At 45.9% G+C, this 18,622-nt stretch overlaps 1 protein-coding gene across 6 annotated transcripts in view, besides 2 other annotated features; it reads right to left on the bottom strand.

Moving 5' to 3' along the window:
• SIM2 (SIM bHLH transcription factor 2) overlaps nt 1–18,622 on the bottom strand; it is a 50,803-nt gene that overhangs the window by 22,134 nt on the left and 10,047 nt on the right. For 4 of the 6 annotated variants that reach the window (NM_005069.6, NM_009586.5, XM_047440953.1 and 1 more), the window contains exons 2-6: nt 18,534–18,616; nt 15,162–15,251; nt 7,855–7,963; nt 4,654–4,739; nt 1,466–1,665 (exon numbers count right to left, since the gene is read on the bottom strand). In NM_005069.6, coding sequence (NP_005060.1) covers nt 1,466–1,665; nt 4,654–4,739; nt 7,855–7,963; nt 15,162–15,251; nt 18,534–18,616 — 568 coding nt within the window. Of the gene's footprint in view, nt 1–1,465; nt 1,666–4,653; nt 4,740–7,854; nt 7,964–15,161; nt 18,215–18,533; nt 18,617–18,622 lie in introns of those variants that run through there. The other 2 variants (XM_047440952.1, XM_011529694.2) reach the window with 2 other exon arrangements.
• Nucleotides 7,486–8,272: an enhancer, noted in NCBI's record as "H3K4me1 hESC enhancer chr21:38091813-38092599 (GRCh37/hg19 assembly coordinates)". NCBI's record gives its function as "activates a minimal SCP1, AML or CMV promoter by ChIP-STARR-seq in naive H9 embryonic stem cells {active_cell/tissue: H9 hESC(naive)}" and the evidence as "EXISTENCE:reporter gene assay evidence [ECO:0000049][PMID:30033119]".
• Nucleotides 17,792–18,621: an enhancer, noted in NCBI's record as "H3K27ac-H3K4me1 hESC enhancer chr21:38081463-38082292 (GRCh37/hg19 assembly coordinates)". NCBI's record gives its function as "activates a minimal SCP1, AML or CMV promoter by ChIP-STARR-seq in primed H9 embryonic stem cells {active_cell/tissue: H9 hESC(primed)}" and the evidence as "EXISTENCE:reporter gene assay evidence [ECO:0000049][PMID:30033119]".

The following is an 18,622-nucleotide window of genomic DNA, read 5'->3' as shown; positions in this document are numbered from 1 at the left end:
AAAAGAAAAGAAAACAGTAAATCCTGGCTTCTGGACATACAGAAAGCAAAATGTATCTCTCCTCCCCCCGCCAAAGACTCATCGCACACACACACCCCACGCCAGGAGCGGGGTCTCTGATGGCTTATTCCCGACTGCACAGCTGAGGAACCTACCTGCCAAGAGCTAAAGTGGCCTTGCAGGTAAGAGAGGCTTCACTGTTTCCAATGCTTCCGTCTATTATCTAATCTCATCTTTCCTAGCAGTGAGTGGGCAGGCTGCGCTGCTGTTTTACAAATAAGAACATGGAAGAGGCCTGACTAGCACGTGGCCTCAAGACTTGGGAGGGGTTTGATGGTTCCACAGAGTGGACATGTGTCAAAGCATCACAATGTACCCCACAAACACCACAAAACCCTGAAAACCAAACGCAGTTAGCGTTTGTCACTTAAAAATTCAATTCAGTTTTAGGCTGGGCACAGTGGTTCACTCCTGGAATCCCAGCACTTTGGGAGGCTGAGGCGGGCGGATCACCTGAGGTCAGGAGTTCAAGACCAGCCTGGCCAACATAGTGAAACCGCATCTCTACTAAAAATACAAAAATTAACTGGGCATGGTGGTGGGTGCCTGGAATCCCAGCTACTTGGGAGGCTGAGGCAGAATCGCTTGAACCTGTGAGGCAGAGGTTGCAGTGAGCTGAGATCGCACCATTGCATTCCAGCCTGGGCAAAAGAGCGGAACTCTGTCTCAAAAAAATTAATTAATTAAAATTAAAATTCACTTCAATTTTAAAAAACTCAGACTTTAACTGCAGACTCAGTTAAAAAACTGGGACTGCAGCCGGTTCTAGGGGAGAGTGAAGGCCACTCCAGCACGGGTCTGGAGAGAGGTACTCCCCAAGGCCAGGAGAAATGACCTCATCCAATCCCCTCCTCCCAGCCCAGATGTAGACAGGGCACCCATGAGCTGTGGGAAGAGCATCCCCCAGGGTAGATAGCGTCTCTGCTCCCAGCCTCAGCCCTGTGGTGGCTTCACACCAGCCTGAGTGCCAAGGCCCCCCACACACCGCACACAGGGTGGAAATTTTCTGTTTGTTCTAAAGTCCTCCTTGGACGCAGGAGGCAGAGCTCTGACATCATGGCCTTCAAAAAAGCCCAACCTGTGCTCACAGCCCATGTTTTCATTTCAAACTCTAGTGATTCAAATAAGTAAATAAAATAAAACAAGTAATCAATAAGTAAATAAAATAAGTAATCAATAAGTAAATAAAATAAGTAAATCAATAAGTAAATAAAGTAAAACAAGCCCTTGAGTCCTAAGGCTGACATATGTTCTTTCAGTTCATAAATTGGTTTTGCTTAATCCACATTCCTATTATGACTTATTCCTTGTTATGATTTGGCCAAGATGGCAGCTTTCAGGGACCCATTTCCACCACCGGTGTCTTCCAGAAGGCCACAGCCACTGTGGCAGGTGCCGAACTCACCTGGAATCCAGGAATATCAGCTTCAGGTCAAGGCTGGCCCTGAACATGAACATGTTACTGTACAGCTTGATCTCGGTGATGGCACTGGGTGGCAGCGACTGGCCCACGGCCACCAGCCCCACAATCTGGTAGCAGGAGTCGTACAGGGACATGTCCAGCATATACTGCCTGATCTTCAAGTAGCCACTGCAGTGGATGACCTGGGAGTGGAGAGGGCAGGGTCAGCCACTGGCCACTGGGGTTGGGCTGGAGCCCACTCCTCCTGGCTCATTTTCTCAAACATGCTAGAATATCTCCCAGCCCAGCCTCTACTCCACTGTGCGGCCCAATGTGCTGACAGGCACCGGTTCATTGCTTAGGAGAAGTGGAGAGCTGTGCTTCTTAGGAAACAACATAACAGCTGGAAGCAGTGGCTCAGTCTTGCCATCTCAGCACTTTGGGAGGCCGAGGTCGGGGGATTGCTTGAGTCCAGGAGTTCGAGACCAGCCTTGGTGACATGGCGAAACCCCTTCTCTACAAAAAATACAAAAATTATCCGGGCATGGTGGTGCATGCCTATAGTCTCCAGCTACTTGGGAGGCTGAGGTGGGAGGATCACTTGAGCCCTGGAGGCGGGGGTTGCAGTGAGCCGAGATTGTGCCACTGCACTCCAGCCAGGGTAACAAAACAAACTCACAAGACAACAAAAAATATCATAATAAAATATAAGGGTTGTCTTATCCAATTGACTGTACTGTAAGTAACTACAAATTAGGGCCCTGTCATATATGATGGAGATATACATATGAGCTCACTGCCAAGCTGTGAGTAGGTAACACAATAAAGGCATCTGGGGGAGGCCAACCATTTGTTCCACAGTGCTTGCATCACTGACGATGCTGCTTACCACCTTCCAATGGGATTGAACTTGGCATCTGTATCACTCGACACGCTGTACCAGTAAATAAACAATTCTTTCCGTAGATTTTTTTTTAGACAAGGTCTCACTGTCATTCAGGCTGGAGTGCAGTAGTGCAATCAGGCTCACTGCAGCCTTGACCTCCCAGGCTCAAGTGATCCTCCCACCTTAGCCTCCTGAGTAGCTGGGACCACAGGCATGTGCCACCGTGCCTGGCTAATTTTTTAAAAAATTTTTTGTAGAGACAAGGTCTCATTATGTTGCCCAGACTGGTCTCGAACCCCTGGGCTCAAGCAATCCTCCCACATTAGCCTTCCAAAGTACTGGAATTACAGGCATGAATCACTGTGCCCTGCCCCAGTACAATTTTTTGAAGTCTTCATTTTTAATGTATTTTTATTTCCTTTATTTATAATTCAAGATTTTATTTCCTCATAATAATAAGCCAGAGTGGCCCTACAGAAGCCCTTCCAATTGCTATAGCCAAAAGCCATACAGACAAGAATGCAGTGTTTCGGTGTCAAACAGAAACATCTGTACAGCCTCGAGCGTCACTACTGGAAGCATTTATTCAAGCTGCAGTCTGTGAAATCTTGACAGGGTCAATATCATCATGACAACAGTGAAGAATCTTAGCCTTAAGTTCTCTGTTCCAAAACTCTTTCTCCAGGATTTCTGAATGCATTCATCATCTTTAGGGCTAAAACAAATCTTAAAATCCTTCCAGTCTATTCTCCCATTTTACTAATGAGGAAACCAAGAACAAGATGGTGTTGTGTATTGCTTAAGATTGGACAGCGGACAGTTAATAAGTGGCAAAAAAAAGTCAAGACCCAAGTCCCATCCAGGCGCGGTGGCTCCTGTCTGTAATCCTGACACTTTGGGAGGCCAAGGCAGGAGGATTGACTGAGGCTAGGGACTCAAGACCAGCCTGGAAACACAGCAAGACCCCATCTCCACAAAAAATTTTAAAAATTAGCTGGGTGTGGTGGCGTGCGCCTGTGGCCCCAGCTACACAGATGGCTGAGGTGGGAGGATCATTTGAGCCCAGGAGTTTGAGGCTCCAGTGAGCTGTGATTGCACCACTGGACTCCAGCCTGGGTGACAGAGCAAGACCCTGTCCCTTAACAAAAAGACCCAAGTGCCCTGAAGAATGTCTGTTGGCTCCTGGGGCCCCACCGTGGCCCAAAGAGGCTTAGTATCTGGGACAAAAAGGAAGAAACATGTCCCCCGAACTGTAACAGCACAGTGAGATATAGGTCAAAGGAGGAGCTCAGAGTGGGGTCAAAGAGGGGAGCTGGGGCGGGGCCTTCCAGAAAGAGAGGACAAAGGCACAAAAGTGCCCTTTCCTCTCACCCCATCCTCCTCCCTTCTTTTCTAAGAGACAAATCCTCCTGGAAGAAAGTTTCTGGCAGCTTTCAGCCTCATATTGATGGGTTATGATGTCTGTCCTCTGAGGTTGGAGAGATGGCAGTGAAGATGCCTGGGAGGAGGGTAAGGAGCCCAGAGAGGGGACAAAAGTGTTGGCGGGGGGCACTCAGCACAGACTTCCCCCGACCCACTTTTCCCTGGGGGGCGGCTGACTCTCGTGCCCTGAGACATGACCTACTCCTCCATTCTGGAATTAACAAGAACAAGCGGTGGTGTCTGGCAGAGACGTGGAGCCAGGGAGGAGCATGGGCTGGGCTCAGAGTCCCAGCTCCGCCACCAAGCCCCTTCTGCCGTCCCTCCTCTGGTCCTTGACTAGAAAACTGGGCCAGTGCTGCTCATTCCAATGGGCAGCTGAGATGCTTGAGGGAGTGGCCCAGGTGTGGTGCCGCAGATGAAAGCTCTGCCTTGGACCTTGGAAAGGGCGCTAGCATTATTGTGGTGCACACCGTCATCGGCGGCAGGGAACTTGGTGGAGCATCCCAAGGGGAAGGGCAGTGTCCGTGCTCTGGATACCACTGCCAGCTGCACTGTGCCCAGGAGGATGGGCCTCTATAAACTCCAGAGGCGGTGGCTCCACTGGGACTGGTCCACATGGAAAGTGCCAAGGTATTAATAAAATCTGCCCTAAGCCACACTGATTCCGGGTCTTATGCGATGAATTCCAGCCAGCTGGAACATCCTCCTAAAACACCAGCTCTCACATGAGCCTCCAAGAGACTGTGCACCACGTTGCTGGAGAGCTCTACATTAGTGGGGATGACGAGTTTGTGCTCCCGTGCCTTCCTTTCTGCAGACGCTCTTGAAAACACACATTGAAGACCCTTAGCCAGCTCCTCCCCGCACCCATGACTCCCCGTACCTTGTATCCGCTGCAGGTCAGGCCCGCGTTCCTTTTCGCCAAGACACATTTCATTCGAAGAAAGAACGACCTCTCTATCTCATACTCTGCAAGCAGGAGCAAGATGAGGTTGGCAGCTGTCCCTCCGTGCTTCCCCCATCCTTATTCCAACCGCACCAATGTGTTCCCAGGGCCAGATGCAGCACCCAGAGGCCTTCTCAGTGTGCCCAGACCCTGCTCAGAGATCTTCGGCCTTGGCTGAGATCTGGGTGGGGCAGTGGAGACACCAGCCCAGTCCTGGTGTGGCTTCCTTGGCTCTAAAGGAAGGCAGCCAAACGAGGCCACCCCTGAGGCCCCTGATGGGCCCTGCAGAGCTCCACCTGCCGTCGCCCGCTCCTGGGGGCCGTGGGCTCCAGGAAGGCCCAGAAGCCTCTGACCTCCCTCAGGGTAGCAGGACTTGAGTGTGTGTGACCCAAGGCTTGGCAGATCCATGCTTTCACCCTCATTTCTAGCCCCAGAAGGACCACCCCGTCTCTGTCTCTCCAGGGCTCTGCCCTTCCCACTCACTCACTTTGCTTTTGCAGGCCTCCCACGCAAATCTCTGACCTCACTATTGTCAATGCAAATGTGTCCCCTAAGGAAACACCCTCTGTTTCAGGAAGGGACACCAGCACTCTAAGACACAAATAGAGAAGGACCTCTAAGGGAGGGCGAGGTCACTCCACTCTAAATAAACAGCCCTTTGGTGGAGGTTAATACATGAATTTTTAAAGGAAGGTTACCACTAGGAATGGAAGCAAAGTCTTCCACCCTCCCTGAGGTCACTGCCCTGTGGAAGCTCAGGAATCACCTCAGAGGGCACCCCCTGCCCCAGTTGGAGAGGCTGCCATATTTTACCCACAATTCCCCCTGCAGATGGTGTCTTTGGGCAAAAAGCTTCCCTCTAACATGGCTGCCTGCCCCAGCCATTTCCAGACAAGCACGGTGGGTGGAAGCTCAGGTCTAAAAATACATCAACTGGTCATCAATTACCAAGTTCTGGGGAGAGCCCATTTCTCACAGGTTTATCATAAAACAACGGGGGTCATTTCAGACACGGAAAGTCAGCAAGGGAGCAGCTGGGGAGAAAATGGAGCAGCTGGGGAGAAAATCGAGCACTTGGGAATCTCAACCCCTGCACCCCTCGGCCGGCTGTGGAAATGAGTCAGGTGCGGCCTCAATGCTTCCAGCCCTTGTTGCTTCAGACTCAAAGGCTACAGAAACAGGGCATGAAAGGGTCTCATGATATTCCCAAGACTCATTTGCTCTCATTTATAATCCCTCTTTGGGAGGTTATGACCCAGGCAGGGTAAAATGAAACCGGGGGTAGGGGGAGAAAGCCCAGTCCCATACAGTTAACATACTGTGCAATTTTCAGGCCAGGCACGGTGGCTCACGCCTGTAATCCCAGCACTTTGGGAGGCTGAGGTGGGCAGATCGCCTGAGGTTCGAGACCAGTCTGACCAGCATGGCAAAACCCTGTCTCTAATAAAAATACAAAAAAATTAGCCAGGCGTGGTGGCAGGCACCTGTAATCCCAGCTACTTGGGAGGGCTGAGGCAGGAGAATCGCTTGAACCCAGGTGGTGGAGGTTGCAGTGAGCCGAGATCACACCACTGCACTCCTTGCCTGGGTAACAAGAATGAAACTCCAACTCCAAAAAACAAAACAAAACAAAAAACCGTACTGTGCAATTTTCAAAAACAGTAACAGCACTATGTTCTGCAATTCTCTGACACCTGTTGTCTTTGTCCAGCTTTAAACAACCCCACAGTGAAAGAATTCGATTCAGGTGCGATGTTCTAGCCTAGCCCTCATTTTTTAGAAATTACCTCTTCAGAGCCATGATTCATGTTGATGTCTGCAGACATATCATATCCAAGAATCAGACCTTAGCTACAACTAGGTGCCCCATCTCATTTCAGAAACCAACATGCCAGGCTCTCTCCTTGGTAAGGAATAATTAGACTCCAGTGACTATTTCTGGAGCTGGAACTTGCGGGCCACAGAACTGTCTGCAAGGGATTTTACAACTGTGTGTGCTATTTTGTATTCTCTCTTCCCAGCCCGAGAATGACCTCTCCCCACCAACCCCCAGAAGACAGCAATAAGAATGCAACTCATGTTTTTCCTGCAGCCAGCTACCCCATTCTCATCACCCTTAAAGCCTCTTCTTTTGCATTTTGTTCCACTGGGGTATTCTGGCCAAGCTGGGTGCCATAGTCCAAAGCACACATAAGACCCATTTGTCAAGAGGCCTGTTGGCCTCACTGGATGGTTGGAGGGAGTTAAAAGGCCAGGGCCCCTGGAATAAGTCCTTCTGTATCTTCCTAGCACTCATCACAATTGAAATTTAAGGAGTCATTTGTGTAATGACCAGGGCTTCTTAATGATTTGTGCCACAGCACAAAACCTACAGATCCCTACTTGGAGTAACATTTTTAAATACATAAAATAAAATATATAAGATTACCAAAAAAGCAACTGTATTGGAAAATAATTATCAAAATATTTCAACACAGTGATACGGATATAAATGTGCTGCTTTATTAATACATAAATAAGAAGATTCAGTAGCAGGTCTTAGAACTCCTGAAATTTTGAAGTAGGCATGTGGGCATAAGCGATATGTTTAAACCTGCAAAACTTTCCTATGATATGGAAAACATCTGTGATTTCTATTGTTGGCAAAGCCACAGGTACTAGGGACCCCAAGATGGTTTATCATCTATCATCAGAAGCAAAGGAAATGCCAAATTTCAACTGGAGGAAACACATATGTAATTTTCCCCATGAAATGTCATGGACCACCCCCGACCCCCGAGTTTTAGGCACGGCATCTTGGTTAAGGAGAAGCTTGGTCTAGACCCGTGATGCTGTAATCCCTGGAATTCTGACCCAAGAGCACGAGGGGAGCAGGCTTGCACCACTTTTGTCCTCTACCTAGCACTCAACACGGGTTCTGGCCAACAATAGGAGCTTGATGAATATTGGCTTAAAAGACACAGGTATCAATGCAAATCCCCACGTGGTGGGTGCTGTGTGTGTATTGGAGAGACCTGGGCTGGGCAGTCCTAGTCATGCCCAGCCACTTGGCAGATGTGGGAAGCAAAGCCCTGAGTTCCATTTAAGAATGTCGCCTTGCTTTTAGTCTGTTTTTTTTTTTCCCTCTGGATGGAATACCTTGGAGCAGGTGGTGGTGCAGCGGCTGGTGGGCCGTGAGGACAGCGGTCATCTCATCGTGGTCAGAAGGATGGATGTATTCATAAATACTGTTGCCCGTGAGCTCCACCTGCCGTGGAAGGGAAGGGTCAGAAATGCCACCGCCTCTCTGGGATTGGCGCAGGGGGAGGGGCAAGGTGTGTCACAGGTGCTCACCCTGCCAGGAACAGAACTTTGATCTCTGCTGACAACCCACACCTTTGCCAAACGCAGAAACAGTTTTCTTTTCTCAACAGAGCTCAGAGCTCTGAACTGTCTCCCACACTGTCTAAAAAGGCCATGGCACTGAGGCTTGAGCTTGCAGCCAAGAGAACCCTTAGCAGGAAGGACCAGAAAGCAAAGGGTGGAAAAGGTGGGCACCAGAGGTGGGCGGCGCTGCTGGCCTGGGCAGCATCCTTCATACAGAAGAGGGCTTGAAACAGACCCAGGCCAGGGTCTCTGTCCTTCCCTTGCTGGCGATCTGAGGGGACTGGGTGGCCAGAAGGCCAGCTGTCCTGTCCACATAGTGCTCCCTGTGGAAGTGTTGTCCACTCCGAGGCCGACCAGCCGTCCACGGCAGGGGCGCCACTGCGCCCGAGGAGGACATGAACTCAGACAAAGGCCCTTTCTTCGTCGACTCTGAGCTGTGCCCCTCAGGCGCTGCCAGGCCTCTCTCACATTACCAGCAATGAGTCTCTGGCCCTCCCAGTCCGAGATGACTGTGCTAATTCTGTGGCTCCCGCCCAGGGGTGTGGCTGGGGCTGTGCGTGCCCTGCGGGAGGGTCTGGGCCTGCTCCAGAGAGCCACGTTATATGGGGATTATGTCCTGGGGTTGCTGCCTCAACAGTCCGACGCTACCTATTTCCAGACACAGCCCACAGAGGACAGCACATCCATGTCACTTTGCAGGAATGGATGGCCCCAGGAAAATACCCATCATAGTTACAATTTTTACACAGAGGTCCCTGGAGGCCCAAATTCCCGAACTTGAGAATCTTTCGAATGTTCTCTCAAACATAAGCACCAGGAGAGGATATGATAGAGTCTCAACACCTGGGCCCCCACCCACCTTAAGATGGACAGTGGCACAGAATGTTCTAGAAATGACTAGCAGAGCAGCCTTCTGAGCAGTGGTGGGTGGATCCTATTTTTAGAGCTATAATCAATAGTGCTGAGGGTGGCAGACAAGGACAGTGAGTCGGTGAACCCCAGCATTGTTCAGGGGAGGCCCAGGGGCAGTGGTAGGACTTCCTCCACCACCAAGGGGAGTCCCAGTGCCCAGCCTGAGAAGAAACTCAAAGCATGTGGGAAACCGTCCTTGGGTGGCGAAGGATCTTGGGTAGGTCTGGAGAATTCCTTCTTGACCCTGCCGGAAGGAGAGAGGGTAACTCAAGATAACAAAAGGAGGCTCATGGTGTGTCTTGTCCCGAGCCACCCCCTTGTTATTTTTAGGTGTGTCTTGCTGCAGGTGTCGCTGGGAGCCTGTGGCTCTCCATCAGAGGAGAGACAACATGATTATCTGCAAAGTGGCCATCCTGACGGTGCCACCTCACGCAACAGGACAACCCAGCCAGCTGCTTAATGGAGAAGTTCTGGGAGTTGCAGTTCCAGATTAGCATCTAGGCCATCAGCTTTTACTTGGGACCAAGGGGTCGTGGAGGGGTGAAGTGATTTATCGCACTCCTCTGAGCCAGTTCTTCCAATTTGTTAAGAAGAGCGAGTTGCTTTCTTATTCAGAATAAGTTACACTTCTGGCCTGCTAAGTCATCTTGTCCCTAAAACGGCTCTCACAGTTCTATGTTTTACATTATTCATGGAATGTTTCCTTCCAATATTATGCAAACAGAGCAACAGAGAGAATCCTATTAGAGGAATCCTCCCTACCCTCTACTTAACACCCACTTCCCAAGCCTGGCACTTTCTCAACAGATCTCCCAGACGGACATTCGCCTCCCTGAAAAGTTTATTACAGGATTTCATTTAAGAAAAATAATAAAACTAAATATTCTTCTTTCGAGTCATTCCTGTTAATCCTTAAAAAGTTTAAATAAACTGGCAACAGGTAAGCCAGCCATTTGGGACAGGACCATTTCCTTTTTTCCTCAGGGTGGCAATGACTATGCCCTGGGAAGGCCTGTCCAGGTGCGGAGTGGCAGAAGCTAAAAACTAAGAGAGTTGGCTTAAGAAAATATATATTGACACTTTGGTAGGCCGAGGCAGGCGGATCACCTGAGGTCAGGAGTTCAAGACCAGCCTGGCCAACGTGGTGAAATCATGTCATACTAAAAATACAAAAATTAGCCGGGCGTGGTGGCATGCGGCTGTGATCCCAGCTACAAGGGAAGCCGAGGCAGGAGAATCGTCTGAACCCGGGAGGCGCAGTTTGCAGTAAGCCGACATCGCACCACTGCACTCCAGCCTGGGCGACAGAGCAAGACTCTGTCTCAAAAAAAAAAAAAAAGAAAAGAAAGAAAGAAAAGAAAATATATAGTGACTCACAATTTCAACAGTTTATTTTAAAAATGAAAAAATAACAAAATAGAGAAATGTTATATTGGCCTATCGTTTCTCCCTTCCCCATGTTTTCAGGGAAAAAGAATAATTCTGGTTTGCTCGAAGTTCTTTTCTGGAAAAAAGTAACTGATGTGTTTTCGGGAAACAACTTTACCTCCTTGCAGAAAGACCTTCCATCTGTGCTTATTAAGGGTTAGATTTGCGTTTTAATCCCAGAGTAGGTTCTTATGTTTTCAGAGTTCCCGTTCTCAACACATGCTTTTGAAGAATGAGAAGGGTGAGGTTGCACAGATGAAAGGCTTGGTTTTCTGAAGGCTCGAGTCTGTGACAAAACGAACGGGAAAACTCCAGAGCTGTCTAGGAAGTGAAACAGCCTTCAAATAACGGAAATGTCTTTACAGAACAAATTTTGGAATGATAAAACAGTCCTGACCTTAAGTCAAAATTATGGTTGACATGGTGTTTCCTGTATTTACGTATCTATCCACGCTTTTGAACACTGAGAGAAATGTGACTACCTCACAAAAAAAAAAAAAATTATGGTTGTCGCTATAAAACTCCCTGGGTCTCATGCATCAGCCTTATTAAAACAGACCTTCCATGTGATATTTTAGTATTTGCAAAACCCTGCTAACTACAAAATGGATAGCTTTCCTACTAAGAGCTTTTTTATGTTTTGCTGAATAGCTTTTCTTCTTGCCAAGAAACCTACACATGATAAATACAGCACTAAATGCATATATTCTGTGTGGAAGGGGAGAGTTGTTTGGCACTCTGAAAATGCACGTTACTCTGGGGTGTTTTGCTGAGTATGGTAAATTAAGGATTTTAAAACAAGATGGTTTGGGTTTCAGGGTTCAAGTTATGTCAACAAACATAATTATGTTGTCTTTTGTCTTTATTTCAAAAGTGAAAGGATTAGGTCTTGTACCTCCAAACAACATCATCGATATGTTTATGGTTGTTTCTGGCCACAATCTCAAATAAGACATTCTTTTATGTGTCTCATAAATAGCTATTTCTTACATACGTATATTTATTTGAACATGTATACTAGTTACCTAGATGCTATATAACTGTGTGAAATGTTGGTGAGGAAACTTAACCCAAGGATACTTAAAAATGTATACAGCAGCTACATTTTTACACGGGGATTTTTCTTCCTCCTCCCTAAATAAAAGTAAAATAATTGCATTAACCAAAACAGCACATGGAACTAAATCATTTAGTAAACACGCATGGAAAAACATTGCTGCCCCAACTCTACCTCATCCACGTAGATAGAAACTTGTCTAGATGCTTTGTGTGTGGACACGTGTGCGAGTGTGCCCACCAACGGGAGTTTTCAGGCTGAAAGCCTGCCTCTCTACTGCCTAACACTTGGACCCTGGGCTGAGGAGACAACTGGCATTTTATGGTTGTCTCTGTCATTGTTTTAGTACCAAAGTTTGGCAGCAACAATCACTTGTTTACTAGTGTAAACAAAAAAAAAACTAAAATTTTAGCTCTGCCATACGAAGCAGATTTATTTCAACACTTGTTCAAATAAGGCTTAATAAAAGACTTGGAATGGGGATGGGCTTATAACCCATAAAGAATCATTTCCATACCCTCAAATAAAGAATTTGGATAGTCATTTAGTAGAGGTTAGACCAAAAACAAAACAAAACAAAAAATCACTTTGTAGTGAATTTCCACACAATTATAGCAGATCTAGGGGCTTACATTCTCTATGATCTTTTAACATAAAGTTTAACACTGAATCAACATGAAAGACATCTTTACTTAATAAGATAATGTCATTGAAGGTAATTGAAAGTTTTTGGAACACAAAAGAGCAGCATGTATCAGCTATTACTACTATCGTTATTCATCAGAAATTCTTTTTAAAAGGTTACTCTGACTACTGGGTAAAATTTTATTAACACTTTTATCTCTCATGACTTAAAAAAAATGTTTAAGCCCATTTTAATAAAGGTCTCATGCTTGATACATTTGCCTGACTTTTAAAAAATAATCTAAAAGGTGCAAAAATGTTTAAAAGACCAGTTGGGTATTTGACATCCTATTCAATACTTTATTTTACTATTTAAGTAAAGAAGACAGAAAAAAATACACATTGTGATTCTGCCTAGATTTCCTTCTATGGAGTTAATCATGAACAGGGGGAAGATTTGAGAGAAAAGTTGTTGCTTATTTAAACAGTTCACCGTGGAACGCTCCCTAGACACCGACAAAGAGGGCACTTGGCACTAAAGTGTTTTTGTAGCTGTGAACTGATGCTAACACAGCCCCGCAGAGAAATCAGAAAAAATCAGTTGCTCTATGCAAATGATCAGTTTGACTTATCTTTTTAGAAACTATCACTTCTACTGGAGAGAAAGAGACAATGTATGTATCTCTACAACTTTCTTAGAAAATGGTAGTGCCTAACCCCTCTCCTCTCTCAAAATTATGATGCAAAGTTTTCCTGCTGCATTATGATCATGAGGAAATAGAGTACTTCAACTTGTGAGGCTGCCTGGATTTCCTTCCGTGGAGCCGATCACGAACCGGAGGCAGATTTGTCACCTATCCAATATTTTGGTCCTTCTTAATTATTGTGTTTATAATCAATCAATTCTATTTTCCACATAAAAAGAGAAAAATAACACAGAGAGGCTAACTTGGACGGCCTGACTGAATGCACCGGATCTCTTGGGATGTGCACAGTACCTCCTGATGGGCCAGGACATTCCAAATGACCAAGCAGCCCTAATAGGAGCCCCCAAAGGACTCTACTGAAAGCAAGTTTGCTCAAATGAAACTGTGGGTATGCCTGGATTTTGTGTTGCCCCCTGTAGTTTGTAAATCACATGAAATAGGCATTTTGATCCCTTTCTCACCACGATCCTTAAAGACAGATAGAGCAGGCATGATTTTACTATTTAAGTTACATGGTTCAAGTAGGTTAAAGAACCTGCCCTATCAGACAATAAAAACTCTATAACTGAATACATTTCCCTTTTTGCTTTGACTGCTAGGGAGCTCAGATCTAAATTTAATATTTGATAACAGTGACTTTACCTATTTTAAAAGATTTTTGATCAGTCATCTTTAAAAGTGTGTGAAATGTTTTGTTGTGTTTGTGACATTACTGTAAGACTATGAAAGGTTTTCTAAATGACTAAAAAAGGTAAGTAATTGGGCCAAGTCAGAAGTAGAAACTAGTCTGGGTACAACTTAAGGGCCCTGCATGATTCTAAATAGGGCAAGATAAAAATTCAGAGAATAATAATAGTAGGTTGGTGCAAAGGTAATTGCGGTCATTGCCATTAAAAGTAATGGAAAGACCGCATTTACTTTTGCATCAACCTAATAATTATGGAAAATAGTAAATTTCCTGTTCCCAACAGTAGTTCCCATTCTACAAGTACACTAATCCCACGAGTCACATAGGCACAAGTGCCAAGCCTTAGTAAACTGTATTTGGGAGACTTGGTTTGATAAAAGCAGAGAAGAGGAAGAGAAAAACTTCCATATCATTTTAATATGTAATTCATTTTAAAGGGTTTTGCCTGAGAAACACAGAGTTACATAAACCCATGTGGATCTGGATAAGGATATCCATACATCAGAAGAGAAGGATGTAAATAAATAGCAAGCTTATAAAAAAAAGTATTGGCAGAAAAATAAAAGGAATACACCAGATGCAGTTTGCCAAATGTGGTCATTTTGTTTTTCAATGAGCAAACTGAAGCCACATTAATCGGCATGTTTTATTTTGGCTTAACTACATTAGGAGGCAGGTGTAATTCAAATTCAATATGGGCCTCTCTGGAACCCATCCTCTGTATCTATCATTAATTCTAGTGTGTCTTCAGTCACGGTGAAAAATCACTCTGATAGTACACAATGTGAAGAAATATTTAGTCCCTATATGTAGTTTAAAATGTGACTTTTAAAATCATGATCCACATTTGTTAAGTCAGGCATGTGAATGAGAATGATCAGTTACACTATCCCCTTTCAGACATTCAATGGGCCCAGGGAGCCCCCAAATCCCCCATCAAACCCTTGGCTTGCCAGGGAGAGACAAAGCTGAGTCCCCCTCTTTCCTCTAAGGAAACGGTGGACTTTTTTAAGAAGATGATTCCATCTTTCCAGAAAAATTGGTAATATTCAGATGTTCTAAAGAAACCTTGCTGTTCAAAACAGTAGTAAACTGAGTTTTATGAGTTTCTATCACAAGCATATAAAATGCTTTGCTGAAACGACCACTGAACTGGAAAAAGTCAGGAAAAATGACCCCGAATTCCATGCGAACACTCATAAATCTACCCCTCCCCATTCTCTCTCCCCAAAGAACATTCTGCATAAAATCCATGTTCCACATCAGCTTACCTCTTGCTTTATAGCAACTCATAATACCGTAACGTGCAGACCAGCAAGTGTGGACTGAAACATGTCCCTTTGTGGAGCTCTTTTCAGGGCATCTAGCATTACTACATAAGCAGATAGTCCGGGTTTTGGCAGAATCTCGGAACAAGGCTGACGGGGTGAAGACACACTGGTCATGAAACCCCAAGGGAAAAAGAAAGTAAAAAAGTAAAACGTAATATGGAGAAGAAAACCCCTGCAGGATGTCCTGAGAAGAGGATTTTGCAATTTAGGGTTATGTTCTTACACAAAAGCAAACACTTAAACAGACTCATTTTCAAGTTGGGTGAGGCTGTCAAAATCTGCTGTCACTTCGTTTAATATTTTGGTTGCACATAAAATTAGGCAATACCCACCTGGGATAAGCCTAAATGGACAGAAGCGGTCTCGGATATATACATGATTTTGCCATCAGATGCTACCACAAAAACAAATCCATCCAAAGTCTGTAAAAGATAAAGTGTCAGAATAAGAGATGATCATTCTACATTAGAGTTAAATCTAACAATGGTACAGTCACTGGGATGGAGGGATGCATCAAATATGACCATCAACACATACTTGCTAAATGCAAAAATGAAGCCCAGGGTCTTAAAAAGGACTGTAGGAAACAGCACCCAGGGTTTAGTTCCCAGGCCAGGCTCTGAAATGCTTTTAAAGCACTTTAGAAACAATCATACATCCACATCACAAAAATCATGCAAAACATTTGAGAATTCCTATCAAGCTCAGGTTAAACGTAGTAGCTTTATTGTTTGGGGTTATTTTAGCACTTAGTACAAATCCGGAGTTCTATGGTACTTAGGGGAAAATCTACCACTATATAGACCATTTTATGTCATAATTGGCAGTCATTTATACCACTAGGACATATGCTTTATTTGCCACAATTTTCTAGTTACCTCTAAGTACCGTTGGAATAATAAATTCCGAACACTACCACTGCCCAGAAAATAAAACAAAATACCTGGTTATTTTACCAGACTATGTCTACAGAATTAATTATTTAGAATTTGCAAGAGATCAAATAACCTTTGCAAAATTCAAGGAGGAAAAGTATCAACTTCTGAAAAATGAAAACTACCCAAATGAAATTCTGATTTTTCCTAAGTTGGCTAACCCTCAAAAATAAAGTAAAACTATAAGAGGTAATTAAGACAAATAAAAAGGTAATGATTATATTTATGTGTCAAGGATAAAAAGACTAAATTATTTTTGAAAAAGGAAACTGTATTTTATTTACTCATTCATATTTTAGATCCAGAACCAAAGAAAAGCAATAAAGTTGGTGAAAGACTCATACAACCCACAATGTTGCCCCCATAAAAAATATTCCAAATTAATTTCTGGCCACAAATTCTATTTTTACAGCATGTAATTGAAACCAGATTACCTTTGGTTTTTCTAAGCCACCCCCTCCACCCCTAGAGAGGGGGCTAAAAAGAATGTAGTATAAGTGAATCTTGAAAGATATCCTTGGATTCTGCTGTCTCAAATACAGTTTGCTGCAAAAAGTCTTTGCCAACTAAACTATCATTACCTTCCCCGATGCTAAGGTTGAAAATCAGCATCTTGATTATAAGCCTAACTTTCAAGTTTCTAACTCAGCTGCAAAATATTTTCCCAACTAAACCTGTGGTGTTCCAAAAATATATACTATACAGCAATTTCTAAAGTTATAAATGTCTTGGCGCATTTGGCATGCTTGCTTAATTCCAAAATCATTAAAGAGACACATTTAGTGAAAAAGTATCTCACAACCAGCCATATCTGGGATAATGAGGAAAAGAGGAAAATTATCATAATTAAATTCTAAAAGTTGCCAGCAGTAGCTAAAAAAATAATATTCTTAATGGAAAATGTTGGGTATGACTTCGTAGCTTCAAATGGCCTAATTCACTTACGTGTATAATAACTGCAAAGACGCCCGTCCACACACCACTCCGGAATTAATTAAAGAAATGTAGCACAGAGAAGTCTGGGGGTGTTGACTTTACCAGCCAGGTTTTCATTGAAGTTCCCCAGCACTTAGTTGTCCCTGATATTAGTGTCACTTATAATATGTAGGAGTATGAAACTTGCAACACACCCAGCTCGGAGCTGGAAGTGGAGGAGGGCGAGCAGAGGCCGCCTGGGCAGGGCTCCCAGAGCGCCATTACTCGCCGCGGCCACACCATGCGCTTTATGTTGTAAAAGCTCGGGGTTTCGAATATTCCCCGGGTCTTCTCTTCCGCAGGCATGCATTTTAAAAAATAAACCACACCAGGGCACTTGGGGCAAGAGAGTTGTGAAAAGATCTGCTTTTTGGAAATGCAGAGCTAGCGGCTGACTCGCTGACCTAAGTCATGGCGTCCTGCAGCCAACATTTTTTTTATTATTATTTTAAAGTAAAACACAAAATAGAGGGCGGAAATGCAGAGCAGCTCTCGGTAGGCATTTTTCGATGGCAGAGACAAATGACAGGAGGGGGGAATGAATCGGGTCGTTGATGAGGCTCTGTAAAGGGCATTTGAAAGATCGGGATGTGTCCCCAGCCAGCGCCAACAGCCCACCTGGAAGTGGCGAGCTGTGCTCAGGGCTACCCGGCCGACCCGCAAAGCCCCTCTGCTGCCAGGGAAAAGCCGAGGTCAGGGGCGCGTGCAGCTCCTGCAGGGTGAATGGCCCCGGGCTCGGGGCGCTAAGCACCTGGCTCCAAACCAAGCAAGAGCCCGGAGGCCTCACCAAGTTCTGGTTATCCGGGTGGGCTCTAGAGCTAGGCCAGTGGGCTAACTCCGCTCCACCCCTTGCTGTGTGACCTTAGACATGTTATTTAACCTCTCTGTGCCTCAATTTCCTCCTCTAAAAAATGGAGTTAAAAACAGAATCAAGGCAGGACGCGTTGGCTCACGCCTGTAATCCCAACACTTTGGAAGGCTGAGGTGGGCGGATCATCGGAGGTCAGGAGATCGAGACCAGCCTGGGTGAAACCCTGTCTCTACAAAAATTAGCCAGGCATGATGGCGGGTGCCTGCAATCCTGGCTACTCGGGAGGCTGAAGCGGGAGAATCGCTTGAACCCGGGAGGCGGAGGTTGGAGTGAGCCGAGATCGCGCCATTGCACTCTAGCCTGGGCCACAGAGTGAGACTCCGTCTCAAAAACAAACAAACAAACAAAAAACAAAACAAAACAAATTGAAAAACCAGAATCCACTCTAGATGGGAGGGGGAAGTCAATAAGGTCCGGAACTGAATGTGGCTTGCAGTAAGCTCTGGACAAGTGCTCCTGTTAATATTGTATTATTGATGCTGTCTCTCCGTCCTTGCGCCCCTTGCACACACACAGCGGCCGAATGCTTCAGAGCTCAGAGCAGCCCAATCATTTCTGCTGCTCCAGCCCTGGCGCCTGGCACAGAGCAAGCGCTGGGTGGAACCTGCTGAGGGAAGTGAGATTGGAAAGCACTTGACCACGCTCGGGAGGCGCCCCTGGCGTAGGTCTCAGGTGGCCTGGGGAGTCCTGGGGCCTTCGGCGGGGTGTGGGGGCAGACGTAGGGTTAGGGTAGGGTTGGCCGCAGGCCGCATCCGACATGCTAAGCGTCCATCCCTCCGCAGTGGGGACCACCCCATCCCCAGCCCCCGGCAGCCTCTGGATCTGCCTGGCGCTCCTGGGGAAGGGACGCCTGGAGGCTGGGGTGGCGGGGTGGGAAGGGAGCCTGCGGCGGCTGCGCTCCTCCCCCGGCGAGGCCGCTCTACCTGCAGCAAGTGCGATCCCAGCTCCTTGGCGACGCCGTCCAGGGGCCCGGCGCGGCTCGGCTGTCCCCACGCGTCTCCTAAACCTGGAC

The sequence above is a fragment of the Homo sapiens genome, chromosome 21 (assembly GCF_000001405.40).
Source record: "Homo sapiens chromosome 21, GRCh38.p14 Primary Assembly".
Lineage (NCBI taxonomy): Eukaryota > Metazoa > Chordata > Mammalia > Primates > Hominidae > Homo > Homo sapiens.
The sequence above is the reverse complement of the archived record's forward strand: the minus strand, read 5'-3'. Positions and strand labels throughout refer to the sequence as shown.